The sequence below is a fragment of the Homo sapiens genome, chromosome 8 (genome assembly GCF_000001405.40).
Source record: "Homo sapiens chromosome 8, GRCh38.p14 Primary Assembly".
In the NCBI taxonomy this organism is placed as follows: domain Eukaryota; kingdom Metazoa; phylum Chordata; class Mammalia; order Primates; family Hominidae; genus Homo; species Homo sapiens.
The window spans coordinates 144349554-144364392 of record NC_000008.11 but is presented as its reverse complement, the minus strand read 5'-3'; the positions used below and the strand labels follow the sequence as shown (position 1 = coordinate 144364392).

Genomic DNA, 14839 nt, shown 5'->3' with positions numbered 1-14839 from the left:
CTCAGTCTCCAAAAATAAAAAAAGATCATTTGAGTCCTCGACCTCACTTGAGCCTCAGGCCTGGGCAAAAGAACGAGACTCTACCTCTAAAAGACAAACAAGACCGGGCGCAGTGTCTCACGCCTGTAATCCCAGAACTTTGGGAGGCCGAGGCGGGCGGATCACAAGGTCAGGAGATCGAGACCATCCTGGCTAACACAGTTAAACCCCATCTCTACTAAAAATACAAAAAAATAGCCGGGCGTGGTGGCGGGCGCCTGTAGTCCCAGCTACTCGGGAGGCTGATGCAGGAGAATGGCGTGAACCCAGGAGGCAGAGCTTGCAGTGAGCCAAGATAGCGCCACTGCACTCCGGCCTGGGCGAAAGAGCGAGACTCCTTCCCAAAAAAAAAAAATCAAGGGGTGCAACTGTTCCTTAACCCCGTAGTCACCTGCACCCATCTAGGGACTAAGCTGGGCGGAGAACTACAGAACTGAAGGATGGGAAGGCTCTTAGGTCAGCTGCTCAATCACAGCCAGCGAGGCTTGTCCCCACACACAGAGGATCAGCATCACATGGGATGACCACATACCTGGGACAGGCGGCTGCACGTGGTGGCCACGGCCTGGCTGGCCCTTCACTGCTGGTTTTTTTCTTTTTTTGAGATGCAGTTTCGCTCTTGTTGCCCAGGCTGGAGTGCAATGGCGCGATCTCGGCTCACTGCAACCTCTGCCTCCCAGGTTCAAGCAATTCTGCCTCAGCCTCCCGAGTAGCTGGGATTACAGACACCTGCTACCACGCCTGGCATATTTTTGTATTTTTAGTAGAGACGGGGTTTTGCCATGTTTGCCAGGCTGGTCTCGAACTCCTGACCTCAGGTGGTCCACCCGCCTCGGCCTCCCAAAGTGCTGGGATTACATGCATGAGCTACTGCACTTGGCCCCTTCTCTGCTGGTGAGGAGCCCAGGAAACCTTTCCTTGTGGAGGGACAAGGAACAGTGAGTTGCAGGCTTTGCTCCTACTCAGGGGACCACCCTCTGGGGACAGTGGGGGACGTCAGGTCCGGCTCCATTCCTGCCTTCCGGTGGAGGGTGGAGTCTCCTCCAAATTCCTCTTGGGCAGGGTTTCGCGCTTCAGAGCCTCTGGCCACTTGCTGTGCAGCTGGTGGTGGTGGGCATCCTCGCCCCAGCAGGCCCTGCGTGGTGGGCTATCCTGCCTCCCAGGGGCCCAGCTTTGGCCCTGGACTCAGCCCCGGGAAACTGTAAGTGAGCAGTGCTCAAGGCCTCGGCCCTGAGGCACCTTTCTGCCATTATGATTCTGACCCCTGCCCCAGTTCCTACTGGGATGGGCAGGAAGCTCACAGAGACTTCAAAAGGCAGCGGATTCCTCACTCAGGCTTGTGCACCTTGCTCCTCTGCGGCCTGGGGGAGTGTGGCTCATGTGTGGCACAGAGCAGAGCCTCCATGGATGCCTTTGATCGCTGGCCTATGGGAGGGAAGATAGAAGAAGCTGGGAGGTGGCTCCACCAAGCCTGCAGCCCAGGGTGGACAGGAGAGGGCAGGCCCCAAGCACCGGTGCTGATGGGGGTGGTGGCAAAGCGATGAGGGGAAGGGGGCAAGCATGAGACCAGGAGCCCTGTTGCCCACAGCCATGCCACCAAACCACCCACCTTGTCCCATCCTTGTCCTCATCCTCCCTCAGAAGCTTTCTTCTTTTACCAGGCGACTTCTGAAGCTCACACTCAACCTTCAGCCCCCACCCCCTAGAACCCTCAGTACCTGCAACCCCCAAAGGGAAGCAGCCGGGTCAGCTGGGCAGGGGCCCAGCCTCAGGCGGCAGCATCCTGGAAGGCTGGAGCTGGCAGTGGCCTCTGCCCTCAGAGTTGGGTGGTCCTGAGCCCCCCTGGGAGCTGGCCTGCCCCCTGATGTTTGATGGGGCCCAGACTAGAGGCTTTCCGGGTCACAGGGGCTCCTTCCTCCTCTGATGGTCCTGCCAAGACAGGAGGGAGCAGAAGTGGGGAGGAAGACCAGGCCTTCAAAGGCCCGTGTGCAGGCCAACTCAAGGACAATGAGAAAGGGCCTCCGCAGAGCGGAACCGTCGCAGACAGAGCTTGGGCAGCAGGAACAGACCCACCATCCCCAGTGCCTGCACGCTCCCTGTAGCTGCAGGGGCCCTTCTGCAGAAGTGGGGCCTCTTGCCTGGGAGAATGGGCCTTGCTGCCAGGCCCGTCATACTGATCACAGTTCGGTGTCCTGCCTCCCTGGGGTGGCGGCCCACGAGGTGAAGAAAGCCAGGCTCCTACCTTGGCGTGGTCTCTCCCAGCACTTTCTTCCAGATCCTTGCTCCCAGGCTCAGGGGCTCCTCTCAGTTAGTTCCTTTGCAGCTCCAGCTCTTTTTGTGGGAGCCCAAGAACCACCCAGCCCAGGATAGACCATGGTCAGTGCTGAGGTCCTGCTCCCTGCAGATGCCAACACATACAGGCCCAGGCTGCTCAGGGCTAGGGGCAGTGTGCCAGCAGCCCAGGGAGAAGACAGCTGTAGCCAAGTCTGCCTGAAGAAACAGTTTGGGGCCTTTGGGGGTCTGATTGCAGGAGGAGCTGTCACTGAGAGGGTGGAGGCTCAGGGGAGTGGGGTAATGCTCAGGCCAAACGGTCCCGATGGGCTAAAACCTTAAACTCTGTCTCTTCTGAGTCCCCCTCACTGAGTACCCCGGTGCCTGCACACCAACCCCCTGGTGTAAATCCCTAGCAGGATACTCCTGGGAAGCTAGCAGGCAAACAGTCACTCCAGGGCTAAGGGTGGACAGGGGGCTCGGCACATCGCAGCCCCATCCGACTAACCCTCAGCCCTTGAGAGGTGCTCGTGGAGCAGTGGCCTTGCCGGGAAGAGGCTCCTCTACTCCTCTGACCACCGAAGCTGGTAGCTCGTGTGGGCCCAGAGAGCCCAGGGCAGTTCCAAGAAGCAATGTGGGGTAGTCTGGGCTCAGAGGGCATGACTGTACAATCCGTGAGACCAGCCTGTGGTGGGTAAGGACCTGCCCAGGGCCTGGGGAGAGGCAGCCTGTTAAACAGGCCAGGCCATGGCTCTAGTTCAGGGAAGCATCCACACAGAGAGATGTGCTCAAAGAATTAATGCCAACTCATTAAATACAAATGTTTTATTACGCAAACCACATGTAGGTCCCAGGCTCAGGGGCTTACCCTACAGCCCCCACTGGTCCCTGGCTCCAAGCCTGCTCCTTGCCCTTGCCCACCCTGGAAAGCCAGGATCTCCTATGGAGTGTGTAGGTGTCCACGAGTGTACCGGTGTGCGGGCCTCCTGGGCTGCAGGCACTCAGGCATGGTGGCAGCATTGAGGGAAAGACAGGTGTTGGGGAGCGGGGTCCCCACCTGCCCAGGCTCAGGAGTCACAGGGGTCTGCACAGTCCTTTCTGCTGTGGAACACGTGATAGATGCTGGTCGGGGGGAACATAGCAACAGCGCCGAGCAGAGAGCCCACCTGGATGGCCACGCCGGCTGCCAGCAATGCCGGCCGGCCCCCGCCATGCAGCAGGGAGCTGGCTGCCACCTTCACGTAGGAGAACACGCCAAGACACAGCACCCACGACAGCACCTGAGGGGGACACAGCACCAGCTGAGCGTGAGATGTGCCTGCTCCAGGGCAACGCCCCCCCACCCCACTTCATGTCCCCCTGTGCTCACCACGAGGACCACCCCCGCCGAGGTGCCCACCAGGGGCGGGCAGGGGCTCAGGACTGCCAGCGCCATCAGGTAGCCCCCACAGAACACGCCCAGCAGAGAGAGGCCGCCCAGCCCTGCCAAGGACCTGCAGTGAGCGAGCAGAATGTCAGGGCTGACTGCGCCAGGACCTGGCTCCTAGCCCTGAGTTCCACCCGCACAGGGGCTGGGGGTCCTTGTGTACCTGCACAGCACACCCATGGCCAGGAAGCAGGCCAGGGGATTGGCAGCACTGCCCAGCACCACAGCCAGGTGGTAGGCCAGACGCCCGTAGGGTAAGCAGGAAAAGCTCTGCACGGCAGGCAGCACGCCATTGGTCAGCGCGTTGGTGGCGGCCAACAGGCCCAGCAGGCAGGCACTGCGGGCTGATAGAAGCTGATAGGCCTTAGGGTCTGGACCAGGGGTGGTGCCTGCTGCCTGGCTTGGTGGCTCTTGCAGTGGTGAGGACTCTTCCACCTCTTCCTCTGCTCCTGGGGCTCCCACCTGGAGGCCTGATCCTAACTCCCCTGTGGGTACAGATGGTGGTGGCGGCAACAGCAGCAGAAGACCCTGGAAGGCAGCAGCTGAAGCGACCAGAAGGGCAGTCAGTGCCCAGAAGAAGGTGCTGGCGGGAAAACGCTCAAGGAAGTCGAGCGGGGGGCCAGGGGTGCCGTTGATGGGGGCTGGCGGGCACTCGAGGCGGCCCACACCCTGCACTAGGGCCAGCACGCAGGGCAGCAGGGCACTCAGGCCTTGACCCAGGAAGAATGACCGTAAGAAGCGAGGTGGCAGGTGGCTCAAGAAGGGCAGGAAAGTGACATTCGAGGCACAGCATGCCAGTGCCAGCACAAAGGCCAGTGCTAAGAAGGCCACAGAATGCAACTGTCCTGCCACTGGGGCCACATGGTGCCACAGAGAGGCCAGCAGGGCTGTGCCCACCATGCCCAGCACCTGCACCACCCGGATGGGGACCTGCTCGTCCTTTCCTGGGGCCAGCCTCCTCCAGAGGGTCACCACCAGCAGACCCAGGTTCCCCAGAGCCACAAGCACAGAGACGTAAGAGGGGAGGCTCCAACCTGCAGGGAAGGGAGGAGGCCATGTCAGGGTCATGATGCCCAAGGGAGGAAGAGTGCCAAAGCCCACCTTCCTGGGCACACCTGCACCTCCTCCCACTCACCCTCTGGAAGCTCTCTGACCACCACAGGTAGCTCCACCCAGATCCCACTGACCGCAGCCCAGGAGTCTTGGGCACACCTGCACCTCCCTCCCACTCACCCTCTGGAAGCTCTTTGACCACCACAGGTAGCTCCACCCAGATCCCATTGACCGCAGCCCAGGAGCCCATGCCGAAGAGAGCCACCAGCAGGTGGGTCAGCACCGGACGGGCGGGCGTGGGTGCTGCCATTCAGCCCAAGGCTGGGCCCTTCCAGGTCAGGGCAAAGGTCACAGCCAGTTCTTTTCCCACCTAGGGCCAGACACGCTTTGGCTCTCCTGGGAAGTGAAGACTTCTTCTAGCTTGAAAGAAACAGAGAAACAGATAGGATGCAGAGCCGGAGTCAGAACAGGGTGAGACCAGGGGAACTGGGGGAGCCCCGGGCAGGAGCGCAGATGGGGAGGATTGGCTAAAACGTACCCAGCGGGACCGCCGGCAGGCAGGGAAGCAGGAAGCCGGCCCGAGTCGCTGCGGCCCCAGGGGAGGAGGCCGAAGGAGCGAGTGGAGCCCTCCTCTCCAGGGAGAGGCGGGGCTGGAGTCAACGCCACCACCACCCCAAGCCGGACGCCGGGAAAGGGCGCCTACCAGGAGGAGCCACGCACACCCCAGGGCTTCACGGTGCCCGCGACCGCAAGAGCCAAGTCAGATCCCAGGGGAGTGGCCGGGACGGCTCTGCTCGGAGGGGCGCCGCCCTCTCGGTACCGTCAGGTGGGCGACTCGGGAGCCGTCCGGTCCCTGCGCCTCCCGGTCCCGCGCCCAGTGCGCTCCCGCTCCAGTGCCGGCTTCCCGCCACGCCGGGACACCGCCGTCCGGCCCAGGGACGCCACCTCAGTCCGGAGCGCGCAGGACCCGGCAGCAGCCACGACCCGACTCACCCGTGGCGGTTCCGGGCCCGCCCCCGGCATGGCCCACGACCGGAAGTCCCGCCCCGGAAGCTGGTCGGCGGGCGGGCGGGCGTTGAGAGGAACCGGGGGGTTGTCGGTCTATAAGCCTCGCCCGTTCCGCTCCCTGGGGCTTCCCCGAGCGCCGTCGGTGGTCATGGCTGCCCCAGCCTCCCGGCAGGTCCGACGCAGAGCCCGGGCAGCGCCGCGGCCCCGCTCGGCCGAGGACTGGTGGTGGGACCGGCTGGCGCCGAGGGGCTCGGGGTACCACCTGCTGCAGTCCGACAGCATGCTGCTGGTGCTGTCCGAACCCGGCCCCGCCCGGCCCCGCGCACAGCGGCGCGCTTCCCGCCGCACTCCCCGGCAGCCGCCCCGGGGCCCCAGCGCCGCGGCCAAGCCCAAGGCCGGGCTCAGGTCCGAGGCGGCGGCCGCGCCCGCACCCGCACCGGCACCCACGCCCACGCCCGAGGAAGGGCCCGACGCGGGCTGGGGAGACCGCATTCCCTTGGAAATCCTGGTGCAGATTTTCGGGTTGTTGGTGGCGGCGGACGGCCCCATGCCCTTCCTGGGCAGGTAACGCTGGTGCCGGGCCCGCCGCCGAGCGTAGCGGCTTGGGCCAGACGTGGTCCGAGCGGTGGCCCGGGCGGGGGCGGAGGGCGAAAGCATCGGAGCGCGCACCGCTCAGTCCGAGAGCGCAGCCCCTTAGGCGCCCAGTTGGAGTCCCAGGAGCCCGGCTTTGAGCCGGGGTGTCTACTGCGCTGCGAGAGGGGGGCATCGCCTACGGAGGGGCCGGCACCCTCAGCACGCTGTCCTCCCAGGGCTGCGCGCGTGTGCCGCCGCTGGCAGGAGGCCGCTTCCCAACCCGCGCTCTGGCACACCGTGACCCTGTCGTCCCCGCTGGTCGGCCGGCCTGCCAAGGGCGGGGTCAAGGCGGAGAAGAAGCTCCTTGCTTCCCTGGAGTGGCTTATGCCCAATCGGTGAGGGGTTCCCTCTCTTCCTTACCCCTGGCTCCAGGCTCCTTCCGTCTCCCTGCACCAAGGTGTTGGGTGGGAAGGACTCGTGTGGGAACATTAGTGCAGCTCTGCCTCCGCTGTCGGCCCAGGTTTTCACAGCTCCAGAGGCTGACCCTCATCCACTGGAAGTCTCAGGTACACCCCGTGTTGAAGGTGAGAGCTCCAGGCTGTCCTGCACATCAGCTGTGACACTCTGGGACTGTTCAGTACTCTAGGAAGTGGGTCAGGCACCTTGGGGGCCCAACGCTGCTCCGTGGGGATGTCTGCCTGCCTGCCTGGTTCTCTTTTCCTGCTGTTTCCTCCAGCAGGGAGGTATCAGAGGCGGGGACACCCAAGTAGGCCTGGCATGGGCAGAAAGGAGGTCACAGCTAAGGCGGTAGAGTGGGGTTGGCACCAGCCACTTGTCTGTTTCCCTTGTGGATCTTAGCCTGTCGTCTCCCAACCCCAGCTGCCCCTCTGTCTCCCCGCAGCTGGTAGGTGAGTGCTGTCCTCGGCTCACTTTCCTCAAGCTCTCCGGCTGCCACGGTGTGACTGCTGACGCTCTGGTCATGCTAGCCAAAGCCTGCTGCCAGCTCCATAGCCTGGACCTACAGCACTCCATGGTGAGCCCTGTGTCCCAAGGGGCCCTGAAAAAACCCAGGCCGGGGTGACGGGTGCTCTTGTATTGGGGCCCCAGGTGGAGTCCACAGCTGTGGTGAGCTTCTTGGAGGAGGCAGGGTCCCGAATGCGCAAGTTGTGGCTGACCTACAGCTCCCAGACGACAGCCATCCTGGGCGCACTGCTGGTAAGTTGGCATTGGTGGGAGCAGAGGCAGATGCTGAGCTGGGGACTGCCAGGCCACTGACCCTGTGACCTACCCCCTCCCCCCATCTCTGCAGGGCAGCTGCTGCCCCCAGCTCCAGGTCCTGGAGGTGAGCACCGGCATCAACCGTAATAGCATTCCCCTTCAGCTGCCTGTCGAGGCTCTGCAGAAAGGCTGCCCTCAGCTCCAGGTACCTGGCGCCCTGCCTCTCCCACCTGTCACACCCTCCCCCATCTACAGCCTGGACCTTGCCCCCAGGTGCTGCGGCTGTTGAACCTGATGTGGCTGCCCAAGCCTCCGGGACGAGGGGTGGCTCCCGGACCAGGCTTCCCTAGCCTAGAGGAGCTCTGCCTGGCGAGCTCAACCTGCAACTTTGTGAGCAACGAGGTCCTGGGCCGCCTACTCCACGGCTCTCCCAACCTGCGCTTACTGGATCTTCGTGGCTGTGCGCGCATCACGCCGGCTGGCCTTCAGGATCTGCCATGTCGGGGTCAGCAGTCCTGGGTGGTGGCCGGGCGGGTGAGGTGTGGGGGCCCTTGTCACCTTGTAGCTTATGCTCACTCCTTTCACTGCAGAGCTGGAGCAGCTTCATCTGGGCCTGTATGGCACGTCAGACCGGCTGACTCTAGCCAAGGAGGGCAGCCCCTTTTTGACCCAGAAGTGGTGCCATACACTGCGAGAACTGGACTTGAGTGGCCAGGGGTTCAGTGAGAAGGACCTGGAGCAGGCCCTGGCTGCCTTCTTAAGCACCCCTGGGGGCTCACACCCAGCCCTGTGCTCTCTTAACCTCAGGGGCACCCGGGTCACACCAAGCACTGTCAGGTCAGCATCCCCTACCCCAGTCCCTGGAGCCAGTGTGGCTGTCACTGTGTCTGCCTGGGGCCTGGAAGTTGTGTCCTGCCTGGCCTGAGACCTCCAGGGGTCAGAGGGGCATGCATACTGTCCAAGCCCCTGCGTGGGGTGGGCCTGAGGACACCAGGGGAACTGGGCTTGGCCTTGGTGGCTATGGGTGGCAGAGCCAGGTGTCGAACACCAGCAGGCACAGCTCCCTAGCCTGGCCCAGCCCTTCTGAGGCAACAGCTCAACTTCCTGTGGTCTGCCCTCCCCACAGCTCTGTGATCAGCGGCTGCCCGGGCCTGCTCTACCTCAACCTGGAGTCCTGCCGCTGCCTTCCCCGGGGTCTGAAGCGGGCCTACCGGGGCCTGGAGGAAGTCCAGTGGTGTCTGGAGCAGCTGCTCACCAGCCCCTCACCCAGCTAGGCAGCCACAGACCTGGGACACCTCAGCCAGCTTGCCCACCCTCCACCTTTGCCCAATTTCAGATATTTGAGCATTTTGTTAAAATAAAACATTTTTAGGAGTTCTGTGTGTGTGGTCCTCAGGGTAGGGTTGGGCAACAGGTTATACCTGATGGAGCCACTGGGGCTACAGCCGGCCCAGAGCCTGTGTGTTGTGGGGTCAGGGTGGTCCCATGGGCTCTTGAGCCTGCAGGTGGCCATGCCTTTGCCTGCCCACTGCTGGGTCCAGTGTGTGTGTTCCGTCCTCGGGGACACTGGTGAGCTTGTCTGTGGTTGCATGTGGGTGGGGGGTGGGAGGGGGTGGGGCCCCGCCCAGCTGTGGGGCTCACTGAGTGGTCGCCGCCTGCAAATTTCTCTCCAGCTCAGGCCTAGGGTGTCCACCCATCCACCCTTCACATGGGGACTGTGAACAGGCCATACAGGGGGCCTCCAGTGGATGGACTGGCCAAGAAGTTAATGCCTACCGCAGGACCTCACCCTGGACTCCCTAAGAGGTGGTCAACAGAGCAGCCCCTTCTAGAACCTGCCCAGAACTTCTAGAACCCATCCGCGGTCCACCCTGGGCCGCTCCCTGGCCTCGCTGCCCTGTCAGTCGCCTGTGAGCTCCTGCTCCTTCCTGGGCCTGCAGCCCTGGAGAATTTGCTCACCGAGGTAGGAGTGCCGCTGTGGGCAGTGGGCGGCGGCAGCGGACGAGCGGCCAGGCTGACCACCTCTGCCTGACTCAGATGCCTAAGGGCCGGGCCGGCAGCCTGCCCACGACCTCCATCGGCTGGCGCTTCCAGCTCTGGTTCCTAGGACTCACCTGCCCGGAGCGCCACCTGGCCAGACGCCTCAAGAACAATAGCTTCTACCCATTCGTGCAGCAGGAGCCAAACGGTGCGCGCGAGGCTGGGCGGGGCGGGGCGGGGCGGGGCTGGGAAGGGCGGGGCGGGGGAGGAGGGAGACGGGCCCGAGGCCTGAATGGGGCGGAGCCAGGTGGGCAGAGGCAGGGCCAGGGCCCTGGGTGGGGCCGGCCGGTGCTCCTGGGGACGGAGAGGCCGCAGGCGAGACGTCGCCTCCGCGAGCCCTGCGCGGACCCAGCTAGTCCGGGCCAAGCCTTGGCACCGCCACCCCCGGCTGCGGGCAGGGCCGGGGCGTCCTCACGCGCCGCGCCACCCCCAGTCTTCGTGCTCGAATACTACCTGGACACACTGTGGAAGGGGATGCTGCTCTTCATCATCAGCGTGGTCCTGGTCAGCTTCAGCTCCCTGAGAGAGGTGTGAGCCCCTGGGCCCGACCCCCACCGCCCTCCTCCCCTGAGGGCCGGCCCCGCGCCGCTCAGACTCTCCGCGTGGCGCCCGCAGGTGCAGAAGCAAGAGACCTGGGTCTTCCTCGTGTACGGCGTGGGCGTGGGCCTGTGGCTCGTGATCTCGTCGCTGCCGCGGCGCCGCCTGGTGCTGAACCACACGCGCGGCGTGTACCACTTCTCCATCCAGGGCCGCACCGTGTGCCAGGGCCCCTTGCATCTGGTCTACGTGCGCCTGGCGCTCAGCTCCGATGGTAACGGGCCGGGAGGGTGCGCCAGGGACGGGGAGGCAGCTTGGGAGGTCGGAGGGGCGGCCAGGCTGGCTAAGTCCGCTCTCCCCGCAGCCCACGGAAGGTGCTTCTTCCACCTGGTCCTCGGCGGCCACAGGTTGGAGCCCCTGGTGCTGGTGCAGCTGTCGGAGCACTACGAGGTGGGTCCCGCCCAGACACGCGCCCTCCTCAGGACACGATGACACCGATCACTGTTTAAGGTCTTTGGGTGGGGCCGTTTCCGCACGCAGAGGGTAAATACAACACGGTCTTCGGTGCTGGGGGCCGTGGAGAGGGCGCCGGGGCTTCGGGCAGGACGGGGGATGCAGCCTGGTAGGGGAAGGAGACGCCTGGACGGCGACTCGGGTCTGTCCTGTCCCGGCCCCAGTTGAGCGCCACCTGCTCCCACAGCAAATGGAATACTTGGGCCGTTACATCGCCCGGAAACTCAACATCAACTACTTCGACTACCTGGCCACCTCCTACCGGCACGTGGTTCGCCACTGGCCACCCCCTGGCGCTGGCACTGTGATGGGCAAGAGCCCCATGGGTCACAAGCCCAGCTCCTCTCAGTCCAGCCTGGAGGTGTGACTCTGAGGGCCTCCCCCACCTCGGGACTGTGTTCTCGGTAACCTCCCAGCCCCACTCTGGGGCAGATCAAATGTGAGTCCCACTCACTGGCCTTCCTTTCAATAAAGCTGCCTCAGCTTCCACACGGATCATTTTAGGGGGCAGGGGAGGCCCTCTGGTGCCTAGGTCTTCCACTGTTGCGCACTCCTAGGACCTCAGAGAGCCTGTGCCTTCCAGCTGACTGAAGCAAACCCCACAGCTTGTGTTCGAAGACAGGAACAGCTGAGAGCAAGGGATGGCATATAGCCAGGCCTCTGAGGTTCGGCCCATCACTAGAGAGGCTGGGAACTCCATCCCCTCTTAGCCAGCAGCACTTAACTTGTCCTACCTGACCTCAGAGGTGCTGACCAATGCGTGGAATCCAGGAGTCAGAATCTGGCCCATTCTGGACCCGGTGCCTGCTGCTACTCCAACCAGCAATGGGGTGGGGTGCGGCCAGAGAACAAGCCCTGTGCCTGGGGTGCATGCTTGCCCCAGTACCCACAAAGCTGCTGCCGCTTGCCTCCAAGGGGGTGGGCACAAGAGTCCCGGGCCAGGGTGCAGGGCCTCCTAGGAGGGAGGATGTGCAGTGCCCTGACACCCGCTCGCCATGCCCGCTGGAACCCCAGGCCCGCGCCCCTGACACCCGCTCACCGTGCCCACTGGAACCCCAGGCCTGCGCCCCTGACACCCACTTGCTGTGCCTGCTGGAACCCCAGGCCCACACTCTCCTGTCCAGTGGATCCCCCAGCTATCACTGCAGCACCTGAGGCCTCCTGAGTGCTGGGGGCTGTTGTGGAAGCCGAGAAGGCTGTGGGCCATGGGGTCCCAGGGAAAGCAGGACCTGGCTCTCCGGATCTTCAGGCATTATCAGCTGAACGTCCCTGCAACCAGGAGCAGCTACATAATTTGCAGGGTCCCATGCCAAATGAAAATTTGGAGCCCATTGTTAGGAAGTTAATAAGTGGGGTGCAGTGGTGTATACCTGTAGTCTCGGCTGCTCAGGAGGCTAAGGTGGGAGGACAGCTTAAACCCAGGAGTTCAAGGCTAGCCTGGACAACATAGTGAGACCCCAGTCTCTAATAAAATAAACAATAAAAATAAAAATAAAGTTATTAAGAATTTCAAGATAGACTGGGCATGGTGGCTCACGCCTGTCATCCCAGCACTTTGGGAGGCCAAGGCGGGCGGATCATCTGAGGTCAGGAGTTCAAGACCAGCCCGACCAACATGGTGAAACCCTGTCTCTACTAAAAATATAAAATTAGCTGGGTGTGGTGGTGCATCCCTGCAATCTCAGCTACTCGGGAGGCTGAAGGAATAGAATCGCTTGAACCTGGGAGGCAGAGGTTGCGGGTGAGCGGAGATTGAGCCATTGCACTCCAGCCTGGGTGACAGAGTGAGACTCTGTCCCAAAACGACAACGACAACAACAACAGCAACAAAAACTCAAGTATGGGGCCTTTCTGAGCCTGGGGCCCTGTGTGACTGCCCAGGTTGCAGGCTCGTGAAGCCAGTTCTGCCTGGAACCATGACTTAGAGTCTCTACTTGACCCCCAATCCCAAGGCTGCTCAAAACTCACTGGGCACACAGGCACCCTGGCCCATCTCTGGGGCAGGATCTGGGGGCTACTGAAGTGGCTTTAGGTAATCCCTGGAAGCAATTGTCATTAACAGCACAAGTGCAGGGACCTCCACTCCCCAGAAGATGGGGCTCAAGGTGTCCTACAGTGGCAGCACCAAACTTAGGTTTGGGTTGAGGGCTCTGTTTCACTCAGGCAGGCAAAGTCCCTCCTCCCTGGAGCTGGTGATCTAAGAGGGACCCAGAATGAAGAGTGGTTGGAGGGGCAGGGTCCCTCTGGCTGGGGAGCTTTGGGGGAAGGGCATCGTGGGCAAAGAGTAAACACAACACAAGGGCGTGATATAGGACTGAGCTGGGTGTGCTGGAGAAGCTGCAAGGGGATTGGGCTGGTCAGAGTAGAGAGGACAAGGGAGAAGGAGGCCTGAGATGAGGTGGGAAGGGCAGGCAGCGTCCTTGGAGGCCATAGCTCAGAGCTTTAGTCCTGTGTGCCATGGGAATCTGCTGGAGAGCTGTAAGCAGATATGCACTAAGACCCAGGGAGGGAGCGGTGGGGAAAGGCCAGGAGGCTGCAGGAATTGTGCACGGAGGAAAGGGAGCTGGAGGGGCAGAGGGGAACAGAGAGGAGCAAGGACCACAGACAGTTCTGAGCTCCGGCTCCGTGGAGGGGATTTGCTGCTGGGCGGGAAGTGGGCTGGGAAGAAAAGTGACTCGGGAGTCCAGAGTGTCTGGCCTGGGCACTGGGGCTGGTGGCTATGGGGAGAGGGGTTGGCAGTCAGGAGTTCTGAATTAGACAAGGCCTGAGGAGCTTACAGGACCTTGTGGGGGAGATTTTGAAAAGGCAGAAAGGCCCTGGGGAGAAAGGAAAGGGGGAAGCACAGACCTGAAACCATCATGCCCTGGGAGGTCCCTAAAGCTAAAGCACTAGATGAGATGTCTCTGGCAACGCAGAAGATGGGGGAGAACAGGAGGAGGGCCAAGGATGGAGCTCTGGCATCAGACACAGAGGCAGACAAGGGGCCACGGGGGAAGAGGACCCAAACAGAGGGAGAAGGAACCCATGTTGAGTAAGATGGGGACTCATAAGAGGCACGAACGCCCCTGCAGGAACAGCCTCAAGAAGGGGCCTCAGCAGCACAGAACTGGGGCAGGGAGGAGGGAGGGAGAGAGGGTGGAAAGAAGAGGAGAGTACAGCTCACACAGCAAGTTTCACTGTCATGGGCAGAGAAACCAGGGGGCAGCTTGCAAGAGGAAGGTCTTGCTTGTTGGTGTGCAGGTGTGCATGGCCTAATAGAGATTTTATTTATCTATTTATTTATTGAGACCGAGTCTTGCTCTGTCACCCAGGCTGCAGTGCAGTGGCGATCTCGGCTCACTGCAACCCCTGCTTCCTGAGCTCAAGTAATTCTCCTGCCTCAGCCTCCCGAGTACCTGGGATTACAGGCATACGCCATCATACCCGGCTAATTTTTGTATTTTTAGTAGAGACGGGGTTTCACCATGTTGGGGCCAGGCTGGTCTTGAACTCCTGACCTCAGGTGATCCACCCGCCTTGGCCTCCCAAAGTGCTGGAATTACTCTGTCTCAAATCAAACAAACAAACCGATAGAATTAGGGAGCTCTATGAGTGTAGAGTTGCCCTACTAGTCCTGCATGGCTTCTAATGGACTCTATTTATGTGAAAGAGACAAATTTCCAGTTTAAGCCACTGTAATTTACATTTGTTGTTGTTGTTGAGATGGAGTTTCGCTCTTTTGCCTAGGCTGGAGTGCAGTGGTATGATCTCTGCTCACTGCAACCTCTGCCTTCCTGTTCCAAGTGATTCTCCTGCCTTAGCGTCCCAAATAGCTGGGATTACAGGTGCCCGCCACCATGCCTGGCTAATTTTTGTATTTTCAGTAGAGACAGAGTTTCACCATGCTGGCCAGGCTGGTCTCAAACGCCTGACCTCGTGATCTGCCTGCCTCGGCCTCCTAAAGTGCTGGGATGACAGGTGTGAGCCACCGCACCCGGCCTATTTGATCCACCTGCCTTGGCCTCCTAAGGTGCTAGGATTGCAGGCATGAGCCACCGCACCCGGCCTATTTGATCCACCTGCCTTGGCCTCCTGACGTGCTGGGATTGCAGGCATGAGCCACCGCACCCGGCCTATTTGATCCACCTGCCTTGGCCTCCTGAAGTGCTGGGATTGCAGGCA

The 14839-nt window shown here is 61.9% G+C and overlaps 3 protein-coding genes across 22 annotated transcripts, besides 5 other annotated features; 2 read left to right on the top strand and 1 right to left on the bottom strand.

Moving 5' to 3' along the window:
* Positions 3121-5841, bottom strand: SLC52A2 (solute carrier family 52 member 2). 16 transcript variants are annotated; one of them, NR_045600.2, is made up of 5 exons: positions 5328-5780; positions 5073-5209; positions 3900-4770; positions 3680-3803; positions 3121-3590 (listed from the first exon to the last, which is right to left on the bottom strand). NR_045600.2 is itself a non-coding variant. In NM_001253816.2 (5 exons), exons 2-5 carry the CDS (start codon positions 5097-5099, stop codon positions 3378-3380), a joined length of 1338 nt encoding a protein of 445 aa, NP_001240745.1. In that variant the 5' UTR covers positions 5100-5209; positions 5783-5841; the 3' UTR covers positions 3121-3377. The 16 variants fall into 16 exon arrangements, 15 of the variants coding, with proteins under 15 accessions (NP_001240745.1, NP_001425423.1, NP_001425425.1 ...); NM_001253816.2 differs by lacking the exon at positions 5328-5780 and adding an exon at positions 5783-5841 and having other exon boundaries at positions 4970-5209; NM_001438494.1 differs by lacking the exon at positions 5328-5780 and adding an exon at positions 5783-5829 and having other exon boundaries at positions 3900-4278; positions 4970-5209.
* Positions 3772-4307: an enhancer, noted in NCBI's record as "H3K4me1 hESC enhancer chr8:145583746-145584281 (GRCh37/hg19 assembly coordinates)". NCBI's record gives its function as "activates a minimal SCP1, AML or CMV promoter by ChIP-STARR-seq in primed H9 embryonic stem cells {active_cell/tissue: H9 hESC(primed)}" and the evidence as "EXISTENCE:reporter gene assay evidence [ECO:0000049][PMID:30033119]".
* Positions 5519-5958: a silencer, noted in NCBI's record as "silent region_19677". NCBI's record gives its function as "represses an Ori minimal core promoter by ATAC-STARR-seq in GM12878 lymphoblastoid cells {active_cell/tissue: GM12878}" and the evidence as "EXISTENCE:reporter gene assay evidence [ECO:0000049][PMID:35858748]".
* Positions 5921-8962, top strand: FBXL6 (F-box and leucine rich repeat protein 6). Of its 2 annotated transcripts, none has more exons than NM_024555.6 (9): positions 5921-6361; positions 6607-6765; positions 6891-6936; positions 7272-7403; positions 7478-7585; positions 7680-7793; positions 7862-8093; positions 8179-8425; positions 8715-8962. In NM_024555.6, exons 1-9 carry the CDS (start codon positions 5946-5948, stop codon positions 8860-8862), a joined length of 1602 nt encoding a protein of 533 aa, NP_078831.4. In that variant the 5' UTR covers positions 5921-5945; the 3' UTR covers positions 8863-8962. The 2 variants fall into 2 exon arrangements, with proteins under 2 accessions (NP_078831.4, NP_036294.2); NM_012162.4 differs by having other exon boundaries at positions 6891-6954.
* Positions 5979-6198: a silencer, noted in NCBI's record as "silent region_19676". NCBI's record gives its function as "represses an Ori minimal core promoter by ATAC-STARR-seq in GM12878 lymphoblastoid cells {active_cell/tissue: GM12878}" and the evidence as "EXISTENCE:reporter gene assay evidence [ECO:0000049][PMID:35858748]".
* Positions 7529-8065: an enhancer, noted in NCBI's record as "H3K4me1 hESC enhancer chr8:145579988-145580524 (GRCh37/hg19 assembly coordinates)". NCBI's record gives its function as "activates a minimal SCP1, AML or CMV promoter by ChIP-STARR-seq in naive H9 embryonic stem cells {active_cell/tissue: H9 hESC(naive)}" and the evidence as "EXISTENCE:reporter gene assay evidence [ECO:0000049][PMID:30033119]".
* CATSPERQ (catsper channel auxiliary subunit theta) lies at positions 9462-11165 on the top strand. 4 transcript variants are annotated; one of them, NM_001280561.2, is made up of 6 exons: positions 9462-9551; positions 9626-9776; positions 10062-10156; positions 10244-10439; positions 10530-10615; positions 10866-11165. In NM_001280561.2, the coding sequence occupies exons 2-6, from the start codon at positions 9626-9628 to the stop codon at positions 11043-11045; spliced, it is 708 nt and encodes a 235-aa protein (NP_001267490.1). In that variant the 5' UTR covers positions 9462-9551; the 3' UTR covers positions 11046-11165. The 4 variants fall into 4 exon arrangements, 3 of the variants coding, with proteins under 3 accessions (NP_001267490.1, NP_001239331.1, NP_001239333.1); NR_047684.3 differs by having other exon boundaries at positions 9462-9776; positions 10062-10158; NM_001252402.3 differs by having other exon boundaries at positions 9462-9776.
* Positions 9912-10021: a silencer, noted in NCBI's record as "silent region_19675". NCBI's record gives its function as "represses an Ori minimal core promoter by ATAC-STARR-seq in GM12878 lymphoblastoid cells {active_cell/tissue: GM12878}" and the evidence as "EXISTENCE:reporter gene assay evidence [ECO:0000049][PMID:35858748]".
* Positions 11166-14839: the final 3674 nt, after the last annotated feature.